Source organism: Homo sapiens, chromosome 16 (assembly GCF_000001405.40).
Source record: "Homo sapiens chromosome 16, GRCh38.p14 Primary Assembly".
Lineage (NCBI taxonomy): Eukaryota > Metazoa > Chordata > Mammalia > Primates > Hominidae > Homo > Homo sapiens.
Window position 1 is genome coordinate 86,998,878 of NC_000016.10, and position 20,896 is coordinate 87,019,773.

General features: G+C 47.9%; 2 annotated features.

The window, feature by feature from the left end:
- Positions 13,937 to 14,498: an enhancer, noted in NCBI's record as "H3K27ac-H3K4me1 hESC enhancer chr16:87046420-87046981 (GRCh37/hg19 assembly coordinates)". NCBI's record gives its function as "activates a minimal SCP1, AML or CMV promoter by ChIP-STARR-seq in naive H9 embryonic stem cells {active_cell/tissue: H9 hESC(naive)}" and the evidence as "EXISTENCE:reporter gene assay evidence [ECO:0000049][PMID:30033119]".
- Positions 14,499 to 15,059: an enhancer, noted in NCBI's record as "H3K27ac-H3K4me1 hESC enhancer chr16:87046982-87047542 (GRCh37/hg19 assembly coordinates)". NCBI's record gives its function as "activates a minimal SCP1, AML or CMV promoter by ChIP-STARR-seq in naive H9 embryonic stem cells {active_cell/tissue: H9 hESC(naive)}" and the evidence as "EXISTENCE:reporter gene assay evidence [ECO:0000049][PMID:30033119]".

Consider the following 20,896-nt stretch of genomic DNA (forward strand, 5'->3'; position numbering starts at 1 on the left):
TGTCATCACTGCTGTGTTGTGGTTTTTAATGTTGATGTATCTTTGGTGATGTGATGTTGTCATCATTGGTGCTGAGTTGTTGTTTCGTTGTTGTGTTGTCGTTCCTGTGTTGTTGTTCCTGCTGTGTCATTGTTGCTGCCCTGCTGTCGTAACTGTCACTGTGCTGTCGTGATTGTCACCGTGCTGTCGTGATTCTGTGTTGTCATGATTGTGGCTGTGCTGTTGCGTTTGTCACTGTGTTGTCCTGATTCTCAGTGTGTTGTGATTGTCACTGCGCTGTCGTGATTCTCACTGTGCTGTCATGGTTGTCACTGTGCTGTTGGGTTTGTCACTGTGTCGTCGTGATTCTCAGTGTGTTGTGATTGTCACTGTGCTGTCATCATTCTCACTGTGCCGTCATGGTTGTCACCGCACTGTTGTGATTCTGTGTTGTCATGATTGTCGCTGTGCTGTACCTGTAACCTGGAGTCCTCTTTGCCACATTCAGTAGCATCCAGGCATCACTGCTTTCTCTCTCTCTCTCTCTCTCTCTCTCTCTCTCTCTCGCACACGCTCTCTCTCTCTCTCTTTTTCTCTCTCTCCTGGTCTCTTTCTTTCTCCTTCTCCCCACTTTCTGTCCCTTTCCCCTTCTTCCTTCTTCGTTCATTCCCTCCGTGTTCCCATCCTGTTCTCTATCACCATCTCTGTGTCTGTACTCATCACACTCATTCTTGGTTTGAACCATTCTCAGCCAGAGGGAGACCAGAGGCTGAGTCAGGAGGATGCCTGTGAGCCTATTTTTAGGGAAAAAGCCCAACACGTGATTTACCAGGAATTTGAGCCAGGACACAGTCAGGCAGGCAGGTGATGGCGTTAGCAGCAGACAGTGAACCCCCATCTGGACCAAAATGTGCCCAGATGGCTATAGTTTAATTGTGTTTCCGTGCTGCTATTTAATTCATCTTAAACATGGGCATAGGGGAAGAGACTTCAGGACCAGTGAAATGCAAAGTGAAAAGTAATCAGGAGGATCTGGGCCACCCTTTGGCGTCTGCAGTGAGTTTAAGAGAAGGTCATGAATACACCAGCTTGCCAGAGGCCTTAGATGCTTCCCTGATGTTCCCAGGCTTTGGTTTCTTCATGCACAAGATAAGAGTGTAATAAGATAATCAGGTCCTCAACCACCAACCGTCTCTACATTCTCTGATTTCACCTTCAACAGGGTGTAAGAATAGCTCACATGTATTAAGGGGTGACTTTGCACCTGGCATGGTTAGGTTATGTGAACTGACTCATAAAATTTTTCCAACAGGCCTGTGAGGCAGGTAGCAGCATCACCAACATCCTCTCTGTAAAGACAAGGTGACTGAAACACAGAGAGGTTAATATTTAACTTTCCCGAGGTCACACAGTGGGTAAATAATGGAGCCAGGATGCAAACCCACCAGTCTGGCTGCAGAGCTCCCTCAACCATGACTATCCAGTTTTGGAGGGTGAGAGTGGGAGTGGCTGGACACTTCACAGCAAAATTCAGATGGGAAAAGGATAAGCCACTGGCTGCAGAGACTGAATTCCCACACCTATCAGAGGTGTGACTGCAAATTCTCAGGGGTGTGCCATCGGGCAAGAAAAGGAAATAAAATACCTTAATGGAAAGGAAGAAGTAAAATTACCATATTCTCAGATGACATGACCTTACACAGAGAGAGTCCTAAGGACTATACACTGTACACAACTATTAGAATTAATACACAAGGTCACAGGATGTAAGATCAATGTACAAAACTCAGTTGTGTCTCTGTACTCTAGCAATGAACAATCAAAAGATGAAGCTAATAATACAATTCCACTCACAATCACATCAAAAAGAAGAGAATACTTAGAAATAAAGTACAAGTCTTGGCTGATGAAAATTATAAAACTTCACAGAGGAAAATCAAGGATCTCAATAAATGGAGGGACATCCCATGTTCATGGATTGGAAGGTTCATGATTGTTAAAATGTACATTCTCCCCAAATCGATCTATAGATTCAGTGTGATTCCTATCAAAATTCCAGCAAGCTCTGTTTACAGAAACTGACAAACAGACTCTAAAATTTATGTAAAGATGCAAAACACCTAGAGTAAACAAAAACATTTCTGAATAAAAAGAAACTTTCATACCCTGGGCTTTCATATCCTGATTTTTAAATGTGCAAAGAAGCTATGGTTTCATGACTCTGTGATGCTGGTATCAGAAGAGACATACATCAACAGAATGAACAGAGAGATCAGAAATCAACCCTTATATTGGTAGTCAAATGATTGTATACAAAAGTTCCAAGACAATTAATTGAAAAAACAATAGTCTGTCTATAAACGAAACTGGGAAAATTGGATACCCATATGCAAAAAGATCACTTTAGGCCCTTGTCTCACCCCACACACAAAAATTAACTCAAAATGGATAATAAACTTAAATGTAAGGGTTAAAACAACAAAGCTGTTAGAAAAAAAACAGAAGAAAATCTTTGAGACCTTGGGTTAAGCAAAGATTTCTTAGCCATTACATCAGAAGCACAATCCATAAAATAAAAAAAAAAAATTAACAAATTGGACCTCATCAACATTTAAAACTTTGGATTTTCAAAATACAATACTAAGAAAATGAAAAGACAAGCAACAGCTGAGAATAAAACATTTGCAAAACACATATCCAATAAAGGACCCAGAATATACAATAAAGAACACTACAACTCTATGACAAACAAATCCAATCAAAACAAGACAATGGATAGGAACAAGCATTTCAGCAAAGAAGATATACAAATGGCTAATACATATATGAAATGGGTGCTGAACATCATTAGCCATTAGGGAAATGCAACTTAAAACCTCAGTGAGATACCACTTTATACCCACTGAACTGACTATCATAAATAACACAGACAATAACAAGTGCTGGAGAGGATGTGGAGAAATGGGAACCCTCCTGTGATGCTGGTTATATTATCCATTCTCATGCTGCTAATAAAGACATACCCAAGACTGGGTAATCTATAACTGGGTAATGTATAAAGGAAAGAGGTTTAATGGACTCACAGTTCTACACAGCTGGGGAGGCTTCATAATCATGGCAGAAGACAAGGAAGAGTAAAGGGATGTCTTACATGGCAGCAGACAAGAGAGCTTGTGCAGGGGAACTCCCCTTTATAAAACCATCGGATCTCCTGAGACTTATTCACTACCATGAGAACAGCATGGGAAAAACACACCCCCATGATTCAATTACCTCCCACCGGGTCCTTCCCACAACATGTGAGGATTATTACAATTCACAGTGAGATTTGGGTGGGGACACAGAGCCAAACTCTATCACTGGTGGGAGTGCAAAATGGTGCAGTCACTTTGGAAAGCAGTTTGGAAGTTTCTCAAAAAATTAAACAAACTGCTCTGCAAATCAGCAATTCTATTCCTAGGTATCTACTCAAGATAAATGAAAACCTATGTGTTAAAACCTAGAAAACACAAAGACTCACTACAAATGTTCATGGCAGCATTATTCAAAGTGGCCAAAAATGAAACAACCCAAGTGTTCATCAGCTGGTGAGTAGATAAAGAAATGTGGCCTCTCCATGCAGTGGGATGTATTCAGTCATAAAAAGGAACAAAGGATCTTATGGGAGGATTCGCTTCCCCATTCCTGCTCATCTGCACACCAAGATTCTAGGCTTCCACCCTGGGTAGCCACTTAACCCCAACCCTGCCACACCTCTGCCAAGATGCCATTAAACTCCCCTCAAGGACCCCATTTAAGTGTGACATCCACTCCTACCAGGTCTCCATCCTTCCTCCCTCTGTTCTCCCCAGTGTGCCCTCCAGGGCCCCCATGACCAGCCCTCCCATCCTGGCATCACCTTCACTAACCACTTAGAGCAAAGGGAGTCCAGGAGACTCCACTGGAAACACTGCTGTCTGTTATTTCCTGAACTGTGGGCTGTGACTCCCTGTGTCCTCTGGAGAAAAGATTGCCATGTGTATATTTCTCATTTTCCATGACACTTCTGCTCTGTGTGTTGCAATCATGGTGGGTGGTGAGGTTGAAACAAAATCTGTGGCTTGGCTGTGAGAGAAGAATGGGAGCTCCTCTGTGGACAGAAGCAGCTGCTTGCCTGGCAGGGGAGGTGCAGGGTGAAGATGGTCAGGAAAGAGAAAAAGGGCAGGGAAAACCCAGAATGGCACCAATGGGTGTAGGTTCCACTGCCCTTGACCAGTGGGGACAAACTGGACTGCTCTGGGCTGCACATTTTAGAGCAAGTGATGCAGGCTGGTAAACTGAGGCAGCCTTGGCCCTGGGTCTGGCTGAGAGGCCCCAGGAAGACTGGAATGACCAAGTCCATGAGCCAGGTTGGGAAGTCAGAGTCCCCAGTGCCCTGCCCTTCTCCCCCTGCCAGGGATTGGTTCAAGTAACTGGGCCAACCAGGGCCCCTCCCTCATGTTTCACCTGAAGCTGGGAGAGAAAACAAGAGCCCCACAGTGATAAGCTGGGGAGAACAAAGTTGAAGTACTCACACTCCCTGATTTTAAAAACTTACCGCAAATACCTGGGGAGGCCATGCTGCCCTCCAGGGCAGAAAACTTGCCTCCCTGAGAGAGGTGGAAATGAGCTTGTGGCACTCATTCATACAAATAACCAGGAAGCACCTCCTAAGTGTCAGGGGCTGTTCTCTGCCTGGAGCCACAGCAGTGAGCCAGGGGATGAGTCAAGTCCCTGCTCTTATGGAGTTTGTGTTCAGTTTGGAGACAAACGATATTTTAAAATAAAATAATAAATAACATAAATATCTGGCATGTCATTCAGTGGAAGTGCTAAAGAGAGAAACAAAGGAGAGAGGGGGTGGGGGGCATGGGGTGGAGTTGGGGGGAGTCACCAATGAGGGGGCTCTTGTGAGGCCTTTCTCTTTCATCATTGCAAGAAGGTGCTGGAGGGGATTGAACAAAGAAGTGGCAGGGTCTGGCTTAAATTATTTTTATATTGAGATGAAATTCACAAAATTAACTCTTTTTTTTTTTTTTTTTTTTTTTTTTTTGAGATGGAGTCTCACTCTGTCACCCAGGCTGGAGTGCAGTGGCGTGATCTCGGCTCACTGCAAGCTCCACCTCCCGGGTTCACGCCATTCTCCTGCCTCAGCCTCCCAAGTAGCTGGGGCTACAGGCACCCACCACCACGCCCAGCTAATTTTTTGTATTTTTAGTAGAGATGGGGTTTCACCGTGTTAGCCAGGATGGTCTCGGCCACCCACGTCGGTCTCCCAAAGTGCTGGGATTACAGGCGTGAGCCACCGCGCCCGGCCGACAAAATTAACTCTTAAAGGGAACAACTTGTTGGCATTCAGTACATTCACCATGTTGTGTGACCACCCCTATTTATTCCAAAACATTTCTATCACCCCAAAAGGAGACCCCACACCCATTAGCAGTCACTCCCATTCACCCCTTCCCACAGCCTTTGGAAGTCACCAATTTGCTCTCTGTTTCTATGGATTCGCCAGTGTTGCACACTTCATTTGAATGGGGCATTCAACATGCAGTCTCTTGTGACCAGCTTACTTCATGCAGCATCGTGTTTTTCACGCCCATCCACGTTGCAGCATGGGTCAGCGCTTCACTGCTTTTTGTGGTGGAGTCATGTTCCATTGCATGGATATTTTAACAATCCTTTTTATAGAGGTGGAAAAGCTGATCCTAAAATTCATATACAATTCGGAGATACCCCAAATAACCACATTTTTTCTTAAAGAACAAATTTGAAGGACTCACACTCCCTGATTTTTAAAACTTACTACAAATTTTGGAAACCCCAATCAGTCGCCGTAGTACTGGCATAGAATAGAAATATAGAACAATGGAATAGAACCCAGTCCAGAAATAAACTCATACTTCTATGGTCACTTTATTTGACAAGGTGCCAAGACCATTCTATAGGGGGAAAAAATGTCTCCTTAATAAATGATTGAGAAAACTGGGTATCCACATGCCAAATAATGAAGCTGGACCCCTACCTCACACCATATATAAAAATTAACTCAAAATGGATCAAAGGCCCAAATGTAAGAGTTAAAACTACAAAACCCTTAGAGGAAAATATAGAGTAAATCTTTATGATTGACTTAAACTTCAAAAGAATCAGCCTGGCTGATGTGCTGGGTTGAATCCCAGAGGTTCCTTTCTCCAACCCTGTTCGAGACCCTCAGGAACCTCACAAACTTGACCTCTCACCTTCAGGCATGAGCCAGAAAGTGGCCCCAGTTGGACACAAAGAGGAAACAATGGATGAAGAGAGGGCCCCATGGCCTCCATGAGCACCCACATGACAGTGAGCCAGTACTATTCAAACTACACACAATGCCCACATGACATAAGCCAGGATCATTCACACTGCATATGAGGTCCATGTGACATCATTTTGGATGCTCCTTTTAAAACAAAGGACTTTGTTCTCTTGCCAGTGTCTTCATCCTCAGACAGGAAGAAGCACTTTGATCTGTGGATGACACTCCCCAAGGCCTTCAGCAGGGTGACTTCTGTCGGGAGGAGGGAAGTCTCTGCTCTCTGAGCCTGCTCCTCTGGCACCATAGACAATAAGCCTTTGACCAGCAGGATCCAAGGAACTGGACCTTGCCACGGGCAGCCAGCAGATGCTCCAGTGAAGGACAGGCTCAGGGTGGGTGGGGGAGGAGAGCCAGGGCAAGCCCCCACCTGCCCGCACTTGGGAATCTGCAACAAGCCAGGCCAGGAAGCATCCCATACTTCCTCTGCATCTGTCAACAGCACATTGGGCTGACCCTGAGCCACTCAAAGACAAATGCACCGTGAGCTTGGACCAGTGAGATCATCATGTTTTGGGATGAGGCTATCACACAGCAGAAGCCCCTTAATCAAACAAATACTCTGGTAAAATGGACAGAGCTAAATTTGAAACCATGGATCAAAGGTAAACAGATCAACAGACAAGCAGGGTCGGGATTCAGTTTGCACAAACAGAGAGTCAGAACAGTCAAAGCTGAAGGTGCCCCACAAGCTGGCTGGAAGACCCACACTGTTAAAGAGAGAGGGACCTGGGGCCCTGCTGCCCCATGAGTGAGTCGTGATGGTGTCCAAAGAACCCAACCACGTGAGCCTCCCAGGAACCTGTCACCACCTGCCACCGCTAGGAACTCTTCCTCCACCAAATGCTTCCCTGATGGCCCACAGGTGTCCCCTGGGCATCCACAAGTGAGGCCAGTGTGGCTGGGAGTTGCCACTGCTCACAGGAGGCCATGCTTTGGGGAACAGAGACCCCCGGGGTCCTGCAGGGAGGTAGGAAAGGACTCCTCCCTGTCACATCATAACCTGTGAGATACACAGAGCTGCAAGGCTGGGCTCCAACTGGGCCGTGGTTTTTCTGTGAAGTCACTTGTTCTGTGCTAGCCCACGGACCTCCTTGACCTCCAGCACTGAGATGCGCTCTTGTGACAGCCCCACCTGACCTCAGAAGAGCCAGAGCCCAGCATCCGCAGTGACAGAGACCCCAGTGCTGAAGGGTCTCCTTCAGGTCCCCCTCCAAGGGCAGCTGTGGCCCTGAGACTGGACCGACACCCTCAGCCATGGCCACATACTGTGAGCTCAGGGGAAATCCCTCAATGCACCAGAGCCATGGTGGCCCCAGCTGCTGGGCAGCTCTGTGCTGGAACATCCAATCTCATCATGATCATGACCACTCATCAGCCCAGGTCCCTGCGGAAGCGGGTGGCACAGGCAAGCCGGGGGAGATGAGGAAAGGGGTTGCAATCAGGCCCGCAGCCCATATCTGGCTGCCATCCATTTCTGTAGAGCCTAGGAGCTAAGATGAGCTTTATTTGTTTAAAGTTGTAAAAAATAAAACCAAAAGTAAATACATGGGAATGTATATATGTGGCTCACATTTGGGGACCCCAGAAAAGGGTATAATAAATAGCTGGGAGGGGGAAGTTACTGCGGTTGCTGGAACTCAGGAGGTGGCAGCAGTGGGAGGGGACCGGCCAGGATGAGCTGCAGCCTGGGATGGGCACCCAGCCAGATCACGGGACCCCTCTCCTGTGTGGGGAGCTGGGGGGGTCACACCCTGACTTTGCTCCCCACTCTTCCATGTCACGCCAGGGGGCCCCACTAGCCAACCCACCCAGAAGTGGGGGTCAGGATCTCAGGACAGAGAGCAAGTGGGGGTAAAGTGGGGCCCTCTGCAGAGTGGGGCGCCAAGCCTGATTTTAGTTAGGAGGAACAGGAGCCTCAGAGGTGAGTAGACCTGCCCAAGACTACCCAGCTCCTGCGTGCCTGCACAGAGACAAGGACTCAGCTCTGTTCTCCCCTACCTCAAGCCCACAGGTCCACCCAGGCTTGGCCGAGGCCCTAGCAAGCCTTGGAGCTGGCTCTGCCACTCACCCTAGAGACCCTCCAGCCCACACCCCAGCTCAGATTCCGCACTCACTGAGCAACCTTCTGAGTAGAATTCCAGCTCACACAGAGCTTTCCCACAGGGAGGAATGTGCTGGCCAAGCTGACGAACATCCAGCCTACTGGACACTTGGGGGCTCACTATAAAGGAGTAATTTGACCCGGAAAGGGACTGCACTGACCAGCTGACACTGACATCTGCCCCCACTGCTGCTCCTTCCTCGCTGCACTCAAGCACACTGGCATTTGGGTTTGCATCTGTCTCTCGTGAATTAGGTTACTGTGAGTCAGTCCTCCAGAGCCTGAGCACTTCTAGGGCACAGACCAGATCACATTTCTGGGCCTACAAGGCCAGGAGTGAGGTGCTGGGCTGGGCTGCAGGAACCTCAGCCAAGCCCTGCTTCCCTGGGGCCCAACTGGGCCTAGCTGGTCTCTGCTGGGGAGCCCTCAGTCAAATCTCTGTCAAACCACAACAGTGACAAGTTTACAACACTCAACCAGAAACCTCTGCAGGGCTGAGACCCAAGTTTGCATCCACTGCTGCATGGGGCTCACACACCAGAAAATCAGCTGTGTTACAGAAAGCACCAGCATCTCCACTTCCCAATGCCAAAGAAAGGGAACCCTGTGTTTAAAAATTAGGAACAAAAAGAACTGGGCCATCATCAATGGATGCTGCTACAAGTCTTTTGTACACACGGTCCAAAGGCAGAAATGAGTTGCCTCCGCTCTTGTATGTCTGCAGGATGTCTGGGCCTCAGGCTGGAAGCAGCCCCTCGCACGTGGCAGGCACACACCAGAGCCCACCGCACTGTGACCACGAGGTCTGAAGAGCCCCTGTGGGCACAGCGGTGGGCTGCGGGCTCGGGGGCCTCACAGGCTGGCTGTGTCCTGGTACCAACTCATGCTTTGAGCCTCACATCCTCTTCTCTAAAACAGGTAAAGCAGGGTGGCCGGAAGGCTTAAATGAAACAATGTTTGAAAACCACTGAGGTGGGTGGCTCCTGATTTCCCATGAGGACAGGCAAGGGTGGTAACCAGTACCAGGAAGAGGAACAGCCACCTTTCAAGATGAAACCTCGGAAAGTCATCGTTGATGAACAAGAAAGAATTAGATTGCTGGTGGCTGGGGGCTGGGACCTTTCATCAAGGTGCTTCAAGTTGCATCCCTTTTCTCCTAGTGAGCCTTGGGTGGGCTGGAAGGGGCTGGAGACTGACACTGTACAGACCTACAAATGGGCACCAGGAGACCACAGTGGGCAGACTTGGTGCTGCTGAAGGGAAAGCTGGCCCACCACCTCTCGGGTGCGTTCTGGGGTGTTCCAAGCTGGGCCGGCAGTGACTTTGGTGGGCCACACTGAATCACAAGTCCCCCAGCATTCAGAGCCTAGGTCGCCCCCTCCCACACTGACTCTGGGCTTGGCCCTGTGATTTGCTCTGGCTGATGGAGCATTGGCCAATGTGATGTAAGCAAAGGCTTCCTGAGCTTGCAAATTGGGTGTGGCCTCTTGGAACCCAGCAGCCATGATGTGAGGAAGCACAAGTGCTCCTGCTAGAGTGAGGCCCCCAGAAGGGGCGCTGGGGATTGACACGGGAGGGAGGAGCCGGGTGGCACATCAAGGAGCTCCCAGCTGAATGCAGCCAGCAAATGGCCCTGGAGACACAGGGTGAGCTGAGCCACCCCGCCAGCCCAGAAAATCACAGAAATACAAAATCACTATTACTCAAAGCCACTAAATGTGGGGATTGTTTGTCAGGAAGCAATAGGCAACTGAAACACATTCCCAGCATCGCCTGTAACAGCCCATGATTTAGCCTCTGCAGCTCACTCTATTTGCACCAACATTATGACAACCTGTTGCAGATGCCAACAGCCTCCTTCTGATCTAATTCCTTTGGAAAGGAATGCCGGAAGCCAGGATATCCTATACTGTAGCCACCTTCTGGACAGGCAAGCATGAAAAACCAACCCCATCATTCATCACTGTTTGTGCCAGTTTAAGTTCAGTGGCCCCTGTTGTCACTTCTTGTTTTCTGTGCCCTCCATCATCGGGTGCAGATCTGTGGCTGAGCTGCTCAGCCTGCAAGCTGTGATGTCACGACCTGGTAGGTCCGTGGTGGCCAGCCCAAAGTCAACAACCCACACAAGTGGCCCTTTGACCTGCAGAGCTGTGGAAGCCACTCCCTGGTGGCATTCATCTATTTAAAGATGCCAGCATCGTGATCCTGTTTTCTGGGACCCTTTTCTGCTGACAAGGCTCGCACTGGGGGCCAGCATCATTTAGGGGATGGAGCAGACCCTGGTTAGGTCTATAGCCAGGGAATAGTCCCCCGGTAAAGGGGGGATGACTGTAATTCCTTGGGTGTCTGGTATATACCAGGAACTGTGTTGGGACATTTACAGGCAGAATGGTACTTTTTAAAAAAGTCCCAGGCCGGGCGCGGTGGCTCACACCTGTAATCCCAGCACTTTGGGAGGCTGAGGTGGGTGGATCACAAGGTCAGGAGGTCGAGACCATCCTGGCTAACCTGGTGAAACCCCATCTCTGCTAAAAATACAAAAAAATTAGCCAGGCATGGTGGCAGGCACCTGTGGTCCCAGCTACTCAGGAGGCTGAGGCAGGAGAATGGCGTGAACCCAGGATGCAGAGCTTGCAGTGAGCCGAGATCGCACCACTACACTCCAGCCTGGGCGACAGAGCGAGACTCCGTCTAAAAAATAATAATAAAATAAAATAAAATAAAATAAACTGTCCCACCCAAAGGGGATCTTTGAGGCAGTGAACCTATCTTGGCAGTGTAAGGGTGGATACAGGACACCGTGCATCTGACAAAGCCCCTAGAACCACACCACAGAGAGTGAACCTGGTGTAAACTGTGGGTCTCAGTAACAACATGTCAATATCGTTTCATCCCTTGTCACAAATGTACATCACTCATGCAGGATGTTAAAAACAGTGGAGCCTAGGAGGGGAGATGGAGGGAATGAGAAATCTGTGCTATCTGCACAATTCTCTGTAAACCTAGAACTGCTCTGTAAAATAAAACCTATTATTTTTTAAAGTTACAGGAAAATAAAAAGAGAAAGAGGGAAAGAGAGAATGAGAGAAAGAGTTTGAGCCACCTTTCTCCTCTTGGGATAGCCGGGCAGCAGGCAGGCTCAACTTATCTGACTCTGGGATGCCAGAACAGGAAACAGGAGGAATTCTAGAATCAGGAGGAAGTCTAGAATCACAGTGGAACGTGCCTGGCTCTGTCACTCACTGGATGCCCTTGAACAAGGTGCATAGCATCCGCAGGCTCCGGATCCATCACCTATAAAATGAGGATAATAACAGGACCTTGGGGACAAAGGTGGTGAGGGTGGTGAGGGAAGGATTTGTACCTCCCCTCCCTAAGTCCTGGTAATGTTTGCCTAGAAATGAATGAACAGAGCAAGTAGAATGTGGTCATGCTTTTGGCATTTAACACATTGGAAGATAGTGGCTCTGAGCACAGGTGAAGTAAGAAATTCCCTAACATCTCTGCTCTGTGCCCCCATGAGCTGGCAATCAGAAGTGTGTGTCTCCCACCTAGGGCTGCTGAGCAAGTAACAGGGACAATGTGCATCCCGGGGTGTGACATAGGGTGGCACACAGCCCACACAGTCAAAGACCAGGAGCTGCTGGGGAGAGGTAAAGGAAGGGCCTCTACCAGCCCTCAGTGAAGCCGAGATGTGTCTAGATCAGGGCTTGGCACCATCAAACTTTACATTTTTCCTGTCTTATGGTCGTGCGATGACATCTATTTTGGATGTGATTTGCACATCCGCATGTGTGAACGCACCAGAGCACCTTGTCGGCAACATGTTGGTGTGTGTTACTCGTCACTGGGTTACCCTCTTTAGGAAGAGTCTGAACTCATGGTTCCAGTGCAGGAATTCCTCGCAGGTGTTTGTCATTATAGATACGTTTCTCAGCATTCCTCACACCCCCCAAATCAAAAACAGTTGAAAAATCAAGAAAATGAGAAAATATGTCCTAATTCTCCTGCAAGAAGTAAGCTTAACAGTCAACATACAGACGTTACAAGTTTGAAGGAACCCAACAAAGTCCTCAAAAGTGACCCCAGGAAATGCTGGCCCTCGGAGACGATGGTGCAGGTCCACATCTCTGGGAACCGGGTGGAGTGTGGAGGAGGGAGGGGACCATCAAGTCAGTGCCTCCAACCTGCTGATCTCACTGCAGTTGTCATGTTGGAACCGTGAGGTCAGGGTCTGCCACGAATACAGAGTGATTCTTGCAAATAAAATTAATATGAATACCTTTATACCCATAGAATACTCTATACAAATCCTATGAGAGGTGTTCCAAGAAATAACAAGTTACGGAATCAAAGTAAGTCCTTAAATTGGCCATTTCAATACATGATTCGGTGTGGGGCTGTCAACACTTCCAGAAGATCTGAATGTGGCATGCTTTTGGAGTAGAAATAGGCACTCCAGGGCACATAGAACTTTATAAAGATCTAAGAAGAAATGCAAACCGAAGAAGGAATGAATATTACTATAGAATCCACCAAGCAAAATCAGAGACTGATCTTCAATCGCAGTTAGTAAAACCCAATTTCAGTGGCAAACCATCCAAAGAGCCAGGAGACAAAATATTGTCTTCTGTTAACTGTTAAGAAGGAAACCGTTAAAAAAGAAATAAGCTGGAAACCATCATTCTCAGCAAACTATCACAAGGACAGAAAACCACACACCGCATGTTCTCACTCATAGGTGGGAACTGAACAATGAGATCACTTGGACACAGGGTGGGGAACATCACACACCAGGGCCTGTCGTGGGGTTGGGAGGCTGAGGGAGGGATAGCATTAGGAGAAATACCTAATGTAAATGACTAGTTAATGGGTGTAGCAAACCAACACGGCACACGTATACCTATGTAACAAACCTGCACGTTGTGCACATGTACCCTAGAACTTAAAGTATAATAAAAAAAAAAAAGAAAGAAACGTAGATGAGGCAACAGGTACCTAACGCACAGTCGCAGACGCTTTGGGATGCACGCTCAGCAATCCAAACAACGTTAACAGCAAAATAAACGTTTCTACGTCCAGATTAATGTTATGAAGCAAAGATCAAGACCTTCAGACAGGCCTAAAACATTAGTACACTGTTTTCTAAAATTTCACCGTAAGATTGGTAACTACACTAAATATCTGTGGTACTTCAATTTTTTAATGATTTTTGAGGTTTATTTTGTTATTGTGTCTTTCTTTTAATATTTTCTGTTATCACATGTCTGAATAAGGGACAGATTAATGTGAAATGCTACCAAATGACATAATATTGTCAAAAGATAATGATATAAAACATTAAGCCAAGTATTTATCATTATGTCTTTTTTTAATATAAAACACGCTGGGACTTTTGATTTAATTGTATCACAGAAAAATGATTTCCCGTTTACTATTAGGATCTCTCATTCTTATTTAAATCACATGAAGTGTTTTGGAAGATGTAAAATAACTTATGATTTCACGAATTACTGTGATTTCCCAGGAATATTGTCCCCAAACCCTAAAGACGAGTATCGGTTGGGAATTCAGGACTGCCAGCCTCAGTTGAGTAGCAGGAGCCAATAGGGGTCCGTGAATGAGACAGGATGAGAGCACGGAGCAAGAGGGCTGGAGACAGCTTGGAGGAGACACATGCTGGAGACCGCAGCCACGGCCAGCAGACAAGGCCTTGGGTTAGCATGGGTGAGCGGGATTGAAAAGAACCAAGACAGGGCAGACATTTGGGCTCGGAAGATCCACGTTATTCCTCAACCCTGCCCTCGACTGCAAGTTCACAGACACAATGATGCAATTATGGGCAGCCAGAGGGCGAGCCCACACGCTGCCCTCCAGCTGCTGAGGCAGGGACCCGTCTGGCTGGACCCCACGGAACACGCAGGTGGCCTCCGCTCCTCCAGACAGACAGGGGCACTCCCCCCGCTGCTGCCCCACACACGCAGGCTGCGGCGGGCCGGGTGGGAAGTGGGTGGGCTGGCTCTCTGCACCTCTGTCCAATTTGGCCCGGGTCGGGCGGCAGCCTCCCAAGCCGCGTCTGCAGAGGCCTCAGCAGGCTGGAAGTGCGGCCCTGCATAAACACGCACTGTTTTTCTTTGAGGCTTAGGCGCGCTTATCCCTGTCATAAATTGTCACCTACTTACACTGAGGGGTCGCAGGCCTCGTTTCCAGGGAGGTCTCCGGCCCTCCCAGCTCAGGGCAGCCAGGGCTCCTCGTTAGCTCTTGGGGAACGAAAGAGTGACTCTCACATGGGATCCACAGAAAACGTGAGGTCCTGGCCAGCTGGCTCCATGGGATCACTCACTCATTCATTCACTCTCACTCATTCATTTCCTCACTCACTCACTCATTCACTCACTCCCTCACCCACTCACTCCCTCACCCACTCATTCGCTTTCATTCATTCCTTCGCGCAGTCATTCACTCGCTTACTCATTCCCTCACTCACTCATTCCCTCATTCATTCCCTCATTCACTCACTCATTCATTCCCTCATTCACTCACTCATTTCCTCATTTGCTCATTCACTGATTCTCTCACTCACTCATTTACTCACTCTCATTCACTTATTCTTTCCCTCACTCATCTCTTTCATTCATTCCCTCATTCACTCCCTCATTCACTCACTCATTCATTCCCTCATTCACTCACTCATTTCCTCATTTGCTCATTCACTGATTCACTCGCTCACTCATTTACTCACTCTCATTCACTTATTCTTTCTCTCACTCATTCACTCTTTCATTCATTCCCTCATTCACTCCCTCATTCGCTCACTTTCTCATTCACTCATTCATTCCCTCACTCACTCACTCATTCCCTCACCCACTCATTCCCTCACCCACTCACTCATTCACTCCCTCACTCACTCACCCACCCAGTCATTCACTCACTCATTCCCTCACTCACCCACTCATTCATTCCCTCACTCACCCACTCATTCATTCCCTCACTCACTCATTCACTAATTTACTCACCCCTTCAGTCACTCACCCCCATTCATTCACTCTTTCACTAATTCCCTCACTCATTTCTTATTCACTCATTCACTCACTCACTGACTCATTCATTCACTCACTCTTTCACTCACTTACTCTTTCATATACTCTTTCACTCACTCACTGAGTCACTAATTCCCTCACTCCTTTACTCATTCACTCACTCCTTCACCCATTTATTCAGTCGCTCACTCATTCACTCACTCCTTCACTAATTCACTCACTCCTTCACTCAGTCATTCACTCATTTACTCACTCATTCAGCAAACACAAAGGACTTCCTGTGTGTCAGGGCTAGTGCTGAAAGTTTTGGGTGTGCAAGGAACACAGAGGGGCAGGTAGATGCTGAAAAATGCAGTCCTCTCCTAGAGACACACACTGAAATATTTACAGATACAATGATAGAGTGCTTAGGACCAGCTTCGACATTAAGCAAGAGAGGGGGAAGTGGCTGGGAATGTGTGAGGGGCAGAACTGGCCATGGCAGAGGGGTGGGAACACAATCTTCATTATCCCGTTCTGTTGACCTTTGAGAAATTTCATTTGAAACTATGGTACCACCTAACAGCAACAATAGGGCCATACAATGATGAGTGAAGGGCCTGTGTTCTCACTGCCTGCCTCAAAGCCCAGCTCTGCCATTTACTAAGGGATCTGACCCCAGGCAACTGTCAACCTCTCTGTACCTCAGTCTCCTCATCTGTGAGATGGGGACAATAGCACCTGTCCCAGAGACAGAGCTGTGGGAATTAAATGAGTTCTTCTCTGTGAAACAGTGAGTGCTCAGGACAGACAGCACTTGTTGACTCTCCCTATTGCTGCAATTCTGTTTATTTCCTAGATGATGACGCTGAGGGTCAGAGTGGTAGAGAGACTGACTCAGGGCCACACGGCTAAGGAAATTGCAGAACCAGAATTGGAATTCCATGCAGGCGGCTCCAAAGTGTGCTCCAGCGTAGGATTGGGCAGGGACAACGCAGCAGGATCAGAACTCTGGCCTGTTTGGATGAGCATAGGGGTGGCAGGAGTGTCTCAGCCAGGCCCCACCAGGTGCAAAGGCCTCTTTCCTGAGGCATACTGACGCCTTTTCCTCCACATGATGGTTGCCTAAGGAGGACCCAGCACACAGCCCAGACTCCATAGGCCCTCAGCAGTGTGGGGGGCATGGTTTGGGTAGCCTCAGGCCTAAGGTCAGGGCTGAATGTCAGTGGCAGGCCTCCAGGAACTGGTTTTGTCACCTTCACTCTGCTTCACCATCCAACCACAACACACAGGTGAGTTCCTATTGTTCCTTAGGGTCCTCACATGGACAGCACCTCCTCCAGGGAACTCTCCCCAACCTCAAAAAGTTAAACATAGGGCTGGGCGCAGTGGCTCACGCCTGTAATCCTAGCACTTTGGGAGGCCGAGGCAGGTGGATTACGAGGTCAGGAAATCAAGACCATCCTGGCTAGCACAGTGAAACCCCGTCTCTACTAAAAATACAAAAAAAAAAATTAGCCGGGCATGGTGGCAGGCACCTGTAGTCCCAGCTACTCGGGAGGCTGAGGCAGGAGAATGGAGTGAACCCAGGAGGCGGAGCTTGCAGTAAGCCGAGATTGCACCACTGCACTCCAACCTGGGTGACAGAGCAAGATTCCGTCTCTAAAAAAAAAAAAAAAAAAAAAAAAAAAAAGAAAGAAAGTCAAACATAGATTTGGCACACAACTCAGCAATTCTACTCCCATGTAAATACCCAAGAGAAATAAAAACAGGGACTCAAGCAAAAATGTGTGCATGAATATTCACAGTGGCATTATTCATAATAACCAAAAAGGTAGAAACAGCCCAAATGTCCACCAATGGATGCTGAATAAGCAAATTGTAGTCTATCCATGTAGTGGAATACTATACAACCATGAAAAAGAATCAAGTACTGATTCATGCTACAACATGAACAAACCTCGAAAATATGCTAAATGAAAGATGCCAGTCACAAAAGGCTGCATATGATTCTGCTTTATGAAATGTTCAGAATAGACAAATTCTATAGAGACAGAAAGACGATTAACAGTTGCCAGGGGTTGGGGGGAAGGCGGATGGGGAGTGGCTGCCTAACGGGAACAGAGTTTCCTTTTGGGGTGATGAAAATGTTTGGTGACTAGATAGACGTGGTGGTTGCACAACATTGTGAACTCACTAAATGCAACTGAACTGTTCACTTTGAAATGGTTAATTCTATGTTATGTGAATTTCACCTCAATAGAAAAAAAAAAAGAGACAGACTGAAGTTCAGGACAATTCAAAGTCCTGGAAAGTCAATTATTCCATTCCTGACATTATTATATAAATGGTGAGGCTGGCGATAGGAGGGAAGGTGGTGGAGGCAGCTGCGCTGGCCAGGAACGCAGGGTGCGGCTCAAAACCTTCATGGTTTAGAGTAACAGGAAGCCTGAGCACCACCATAAATCAGGATTTTCTGACTGGGTTTCTTGTACCGAGCAGAACTCAGTGTATTGAATATCCCAAGCATGTGTGGGGCTCTCGCCTGCCCAACTGCCAGTCCCTGCCAGTGGGGAGGCTTCTAATTTGATGCTGGCCTCAAACTGAAAATCGCTCAATGAAAAAATTAGGTTTCAACATTTTAACAAAAGTCAAGCTGGAACCGACGTTAAACATGAGCCGGAGGATTTCGGTAACTGCAAGGAAAACACAGACGGACAAGTTTCTTGCATGGCTGGGGCAATTGAAGGGATATTTCCTCTTCTGGGGCCAACAGTGGAGCTCAGAATTGCAGCTGCAAGTGACGAGTGTCTGCCCGGCTCATGCCAGCATGTGAACCCGAGGCATTGCCCACCCCCATCCCTTTGTCACGGGCACATCCAGTTTCTCCTCTGCCAGATTCCGTGGATCCAGAGGTGATGGCACACAGAGGCTGGACCCCAATGTTTCTGGATTCTGCTCACCTAGAAGAAGACATGTGTGGCTAATGCAAACCCCCCAGAGCTTATTTCCCAAAGCTCTAGGCATACAAAGCTGGAATGGGCTTTGGAGAGGGTTCTGCCTTTGCCTGTGAGCGAGACTTTTCATCAGCCTTTTAGGTGATGCAAAAGTCATTGCGGTTTTTGCCATTAACTGCAGTGGCTTGTACCAACCTAATAAGAAGCTGTGAGTCACCAGCCTGACCTCAGGGATGCCCAGGAAACAGGAAATAATCCCACACACAAATGCTCCTGACGGAGAGAGTAAGAAATCTACTCTATCAAGCACAACGCCCTCTCCTGCTTCTCATGTGTAAAGGTTCCTGATCTTTCTGAGCTGCTATTTTCTCATTTGTGTGCACGGGTACCCAGATCACCCATCCGGTGGGCTCTGCCTTTGTAAAACCTAGGCTACCTCATCTGCTGTGAGAATTCAGCTGGCTTCTGCACCCTGGCCCTTCTGCCTGGAGCTCTCCTCCCAGCCTCCTCTCCTGGGCCAGTGCCGCCATCCTGAGTCTCACCTTGAACCTGAATCTCTTGGGGCTGCCTTGCCTAACTCCCAGACTGAGATAAAGCCCTCATTATACCCTCACCTCCCTTCCTCTGCCAGAGACCGAACGCTCCCTGGATTATTTATAGATGGGCCCACCTGAACAATCCAAGGTAATCTCCTGTGTCAGCTCTTTCACTCAATCATATCTTGCGAAGTCTTTTTTTTTTTTTTTTTTTTTTGCCATGTAAGGTAACACATTCAGGTACCAGGGGTTAGGATATGGACTGTTTGGGGGACTGTTATTCTGTCTACCCCAGGCGAGAAATCAACTGTCACATCTTCATACAAAACAAACACAATTTATGTGGGCGCCGTAGAACTGACAGCTTGGTGGGAGAGAAAGATAATAAAACAATTGAATGGATAACTCTTGGAGGTGGCTAACCTTTCTATCTCAATAATGACAAAAAAAATTATTTATGGATCTCTGACTATATACTAGGCATGTTCTTAAAACTTATAGACATGACCACAATTCATCCCAACAATAATGTTAGAGGGTGTGCCTTATTCCCATTTCACAGAAGTGAAAACTGAGCCTTGGGAGCGTTCCATGATTGCCTGTGGGTTTACACTCATGTTGACTCCACCGTGCTGCAGACAGAGGCCCCTGAGTTTACCGTGTGTTCACCTGCCCTGCACGCCAGAATGAAGATCTAGAGATGGTACAAGAAGTGTCTGCACACGTCCTAATAGGCCGGGAGAGGAGGAGGGGAGCTCATTCCTTCCCCTTGCTGGCAGCTCCTTTCCCAAACACACTTGCAGGGAGGCAACTGCCGCAAGACGCCTTTGCACTTGCCTCACCTGGCCCACCCCACGCTCCTCTCCTTGCCACTCGGCCAAACAAGCGCAAGTGAAGAGTGATGCCGACCAGTTGTTGAGCATATATAGGCCACCTGGATCACCCAACCAGGAAATCAAAACTGCAGCCATGCCGGGCACGGTGGCTCACGCCTGTAATCCCAACACTTTGGGAGGCCGATGCGGGCGGATCACGAGGTCAGAAGATCAAAACCATCCTGGCTAACACAGTGAAACTCTGTCTCTACTGAAAATATAAAAAATTAGCCAGGTGTGGTGACGGGCGCCTGTAGTCCCAGCTACTCGGGAGGTTGAGGCAGGAGAATGGCATGAACCCAGGAGGCAGAGCTTGCAGTGAGCCGAGATCGTGCCATTGCACTCCAGCTTGGGTGACAGAGCGAGACTCCATCTCAAAAAAAAAATAAAAATAAAAAAAATAAAAACTGCAGCCAGACAGGCATGGTGGCTCACAGCTGTAATCGCAGCACTTTAGGAGGCTGAGGCAAGCAGATCACTGGAAGCCAGGAGTTCAAGACCAGCCTGACCAACATGGTGAAACCTCATCTCTACTAAAAACACAAAACTTAGCCAGGCATGGTGGCACGCACTGGTAGTTCCAGCCAATCGGGAGGCTGAGACGGGAGAAGTGCTTGAAGTAGGGAGGCGGAGTTTGCAGTGAGCTGAGATCATACCACTCCCCTCCAGCCTGGGCGACAGAGCAAAACTCTGTCTCAAAACAAACAAACAAACAAACAAAAAAACCCCTGCAGCCAGTGGAATTGAGAATCTGCAGCATCGATCGACAGCCTCAGTTCCACCCTGGGAAAAGGAGTTCTCTTTGGCTGTAAACTGGTCTCTAACTGTTGTGATTGTGAGATGTCATTTTCATCTCTGCACTGAGTCCTGTTTTATCGCCCATGTGTGCTGTACAGACATCCGATTTATTCACTGTCCACTCTCCAGGTGTCTCGGTGATCCAGAACTCATTTAAGAAGGAGGCATGGAAAGTCTTTGAGTGCCCGAACACACAACAAACCTGCATAGTAAAACACATGGGCTTTATTTATGCCTCCAACACTCATTCTGTGTTTA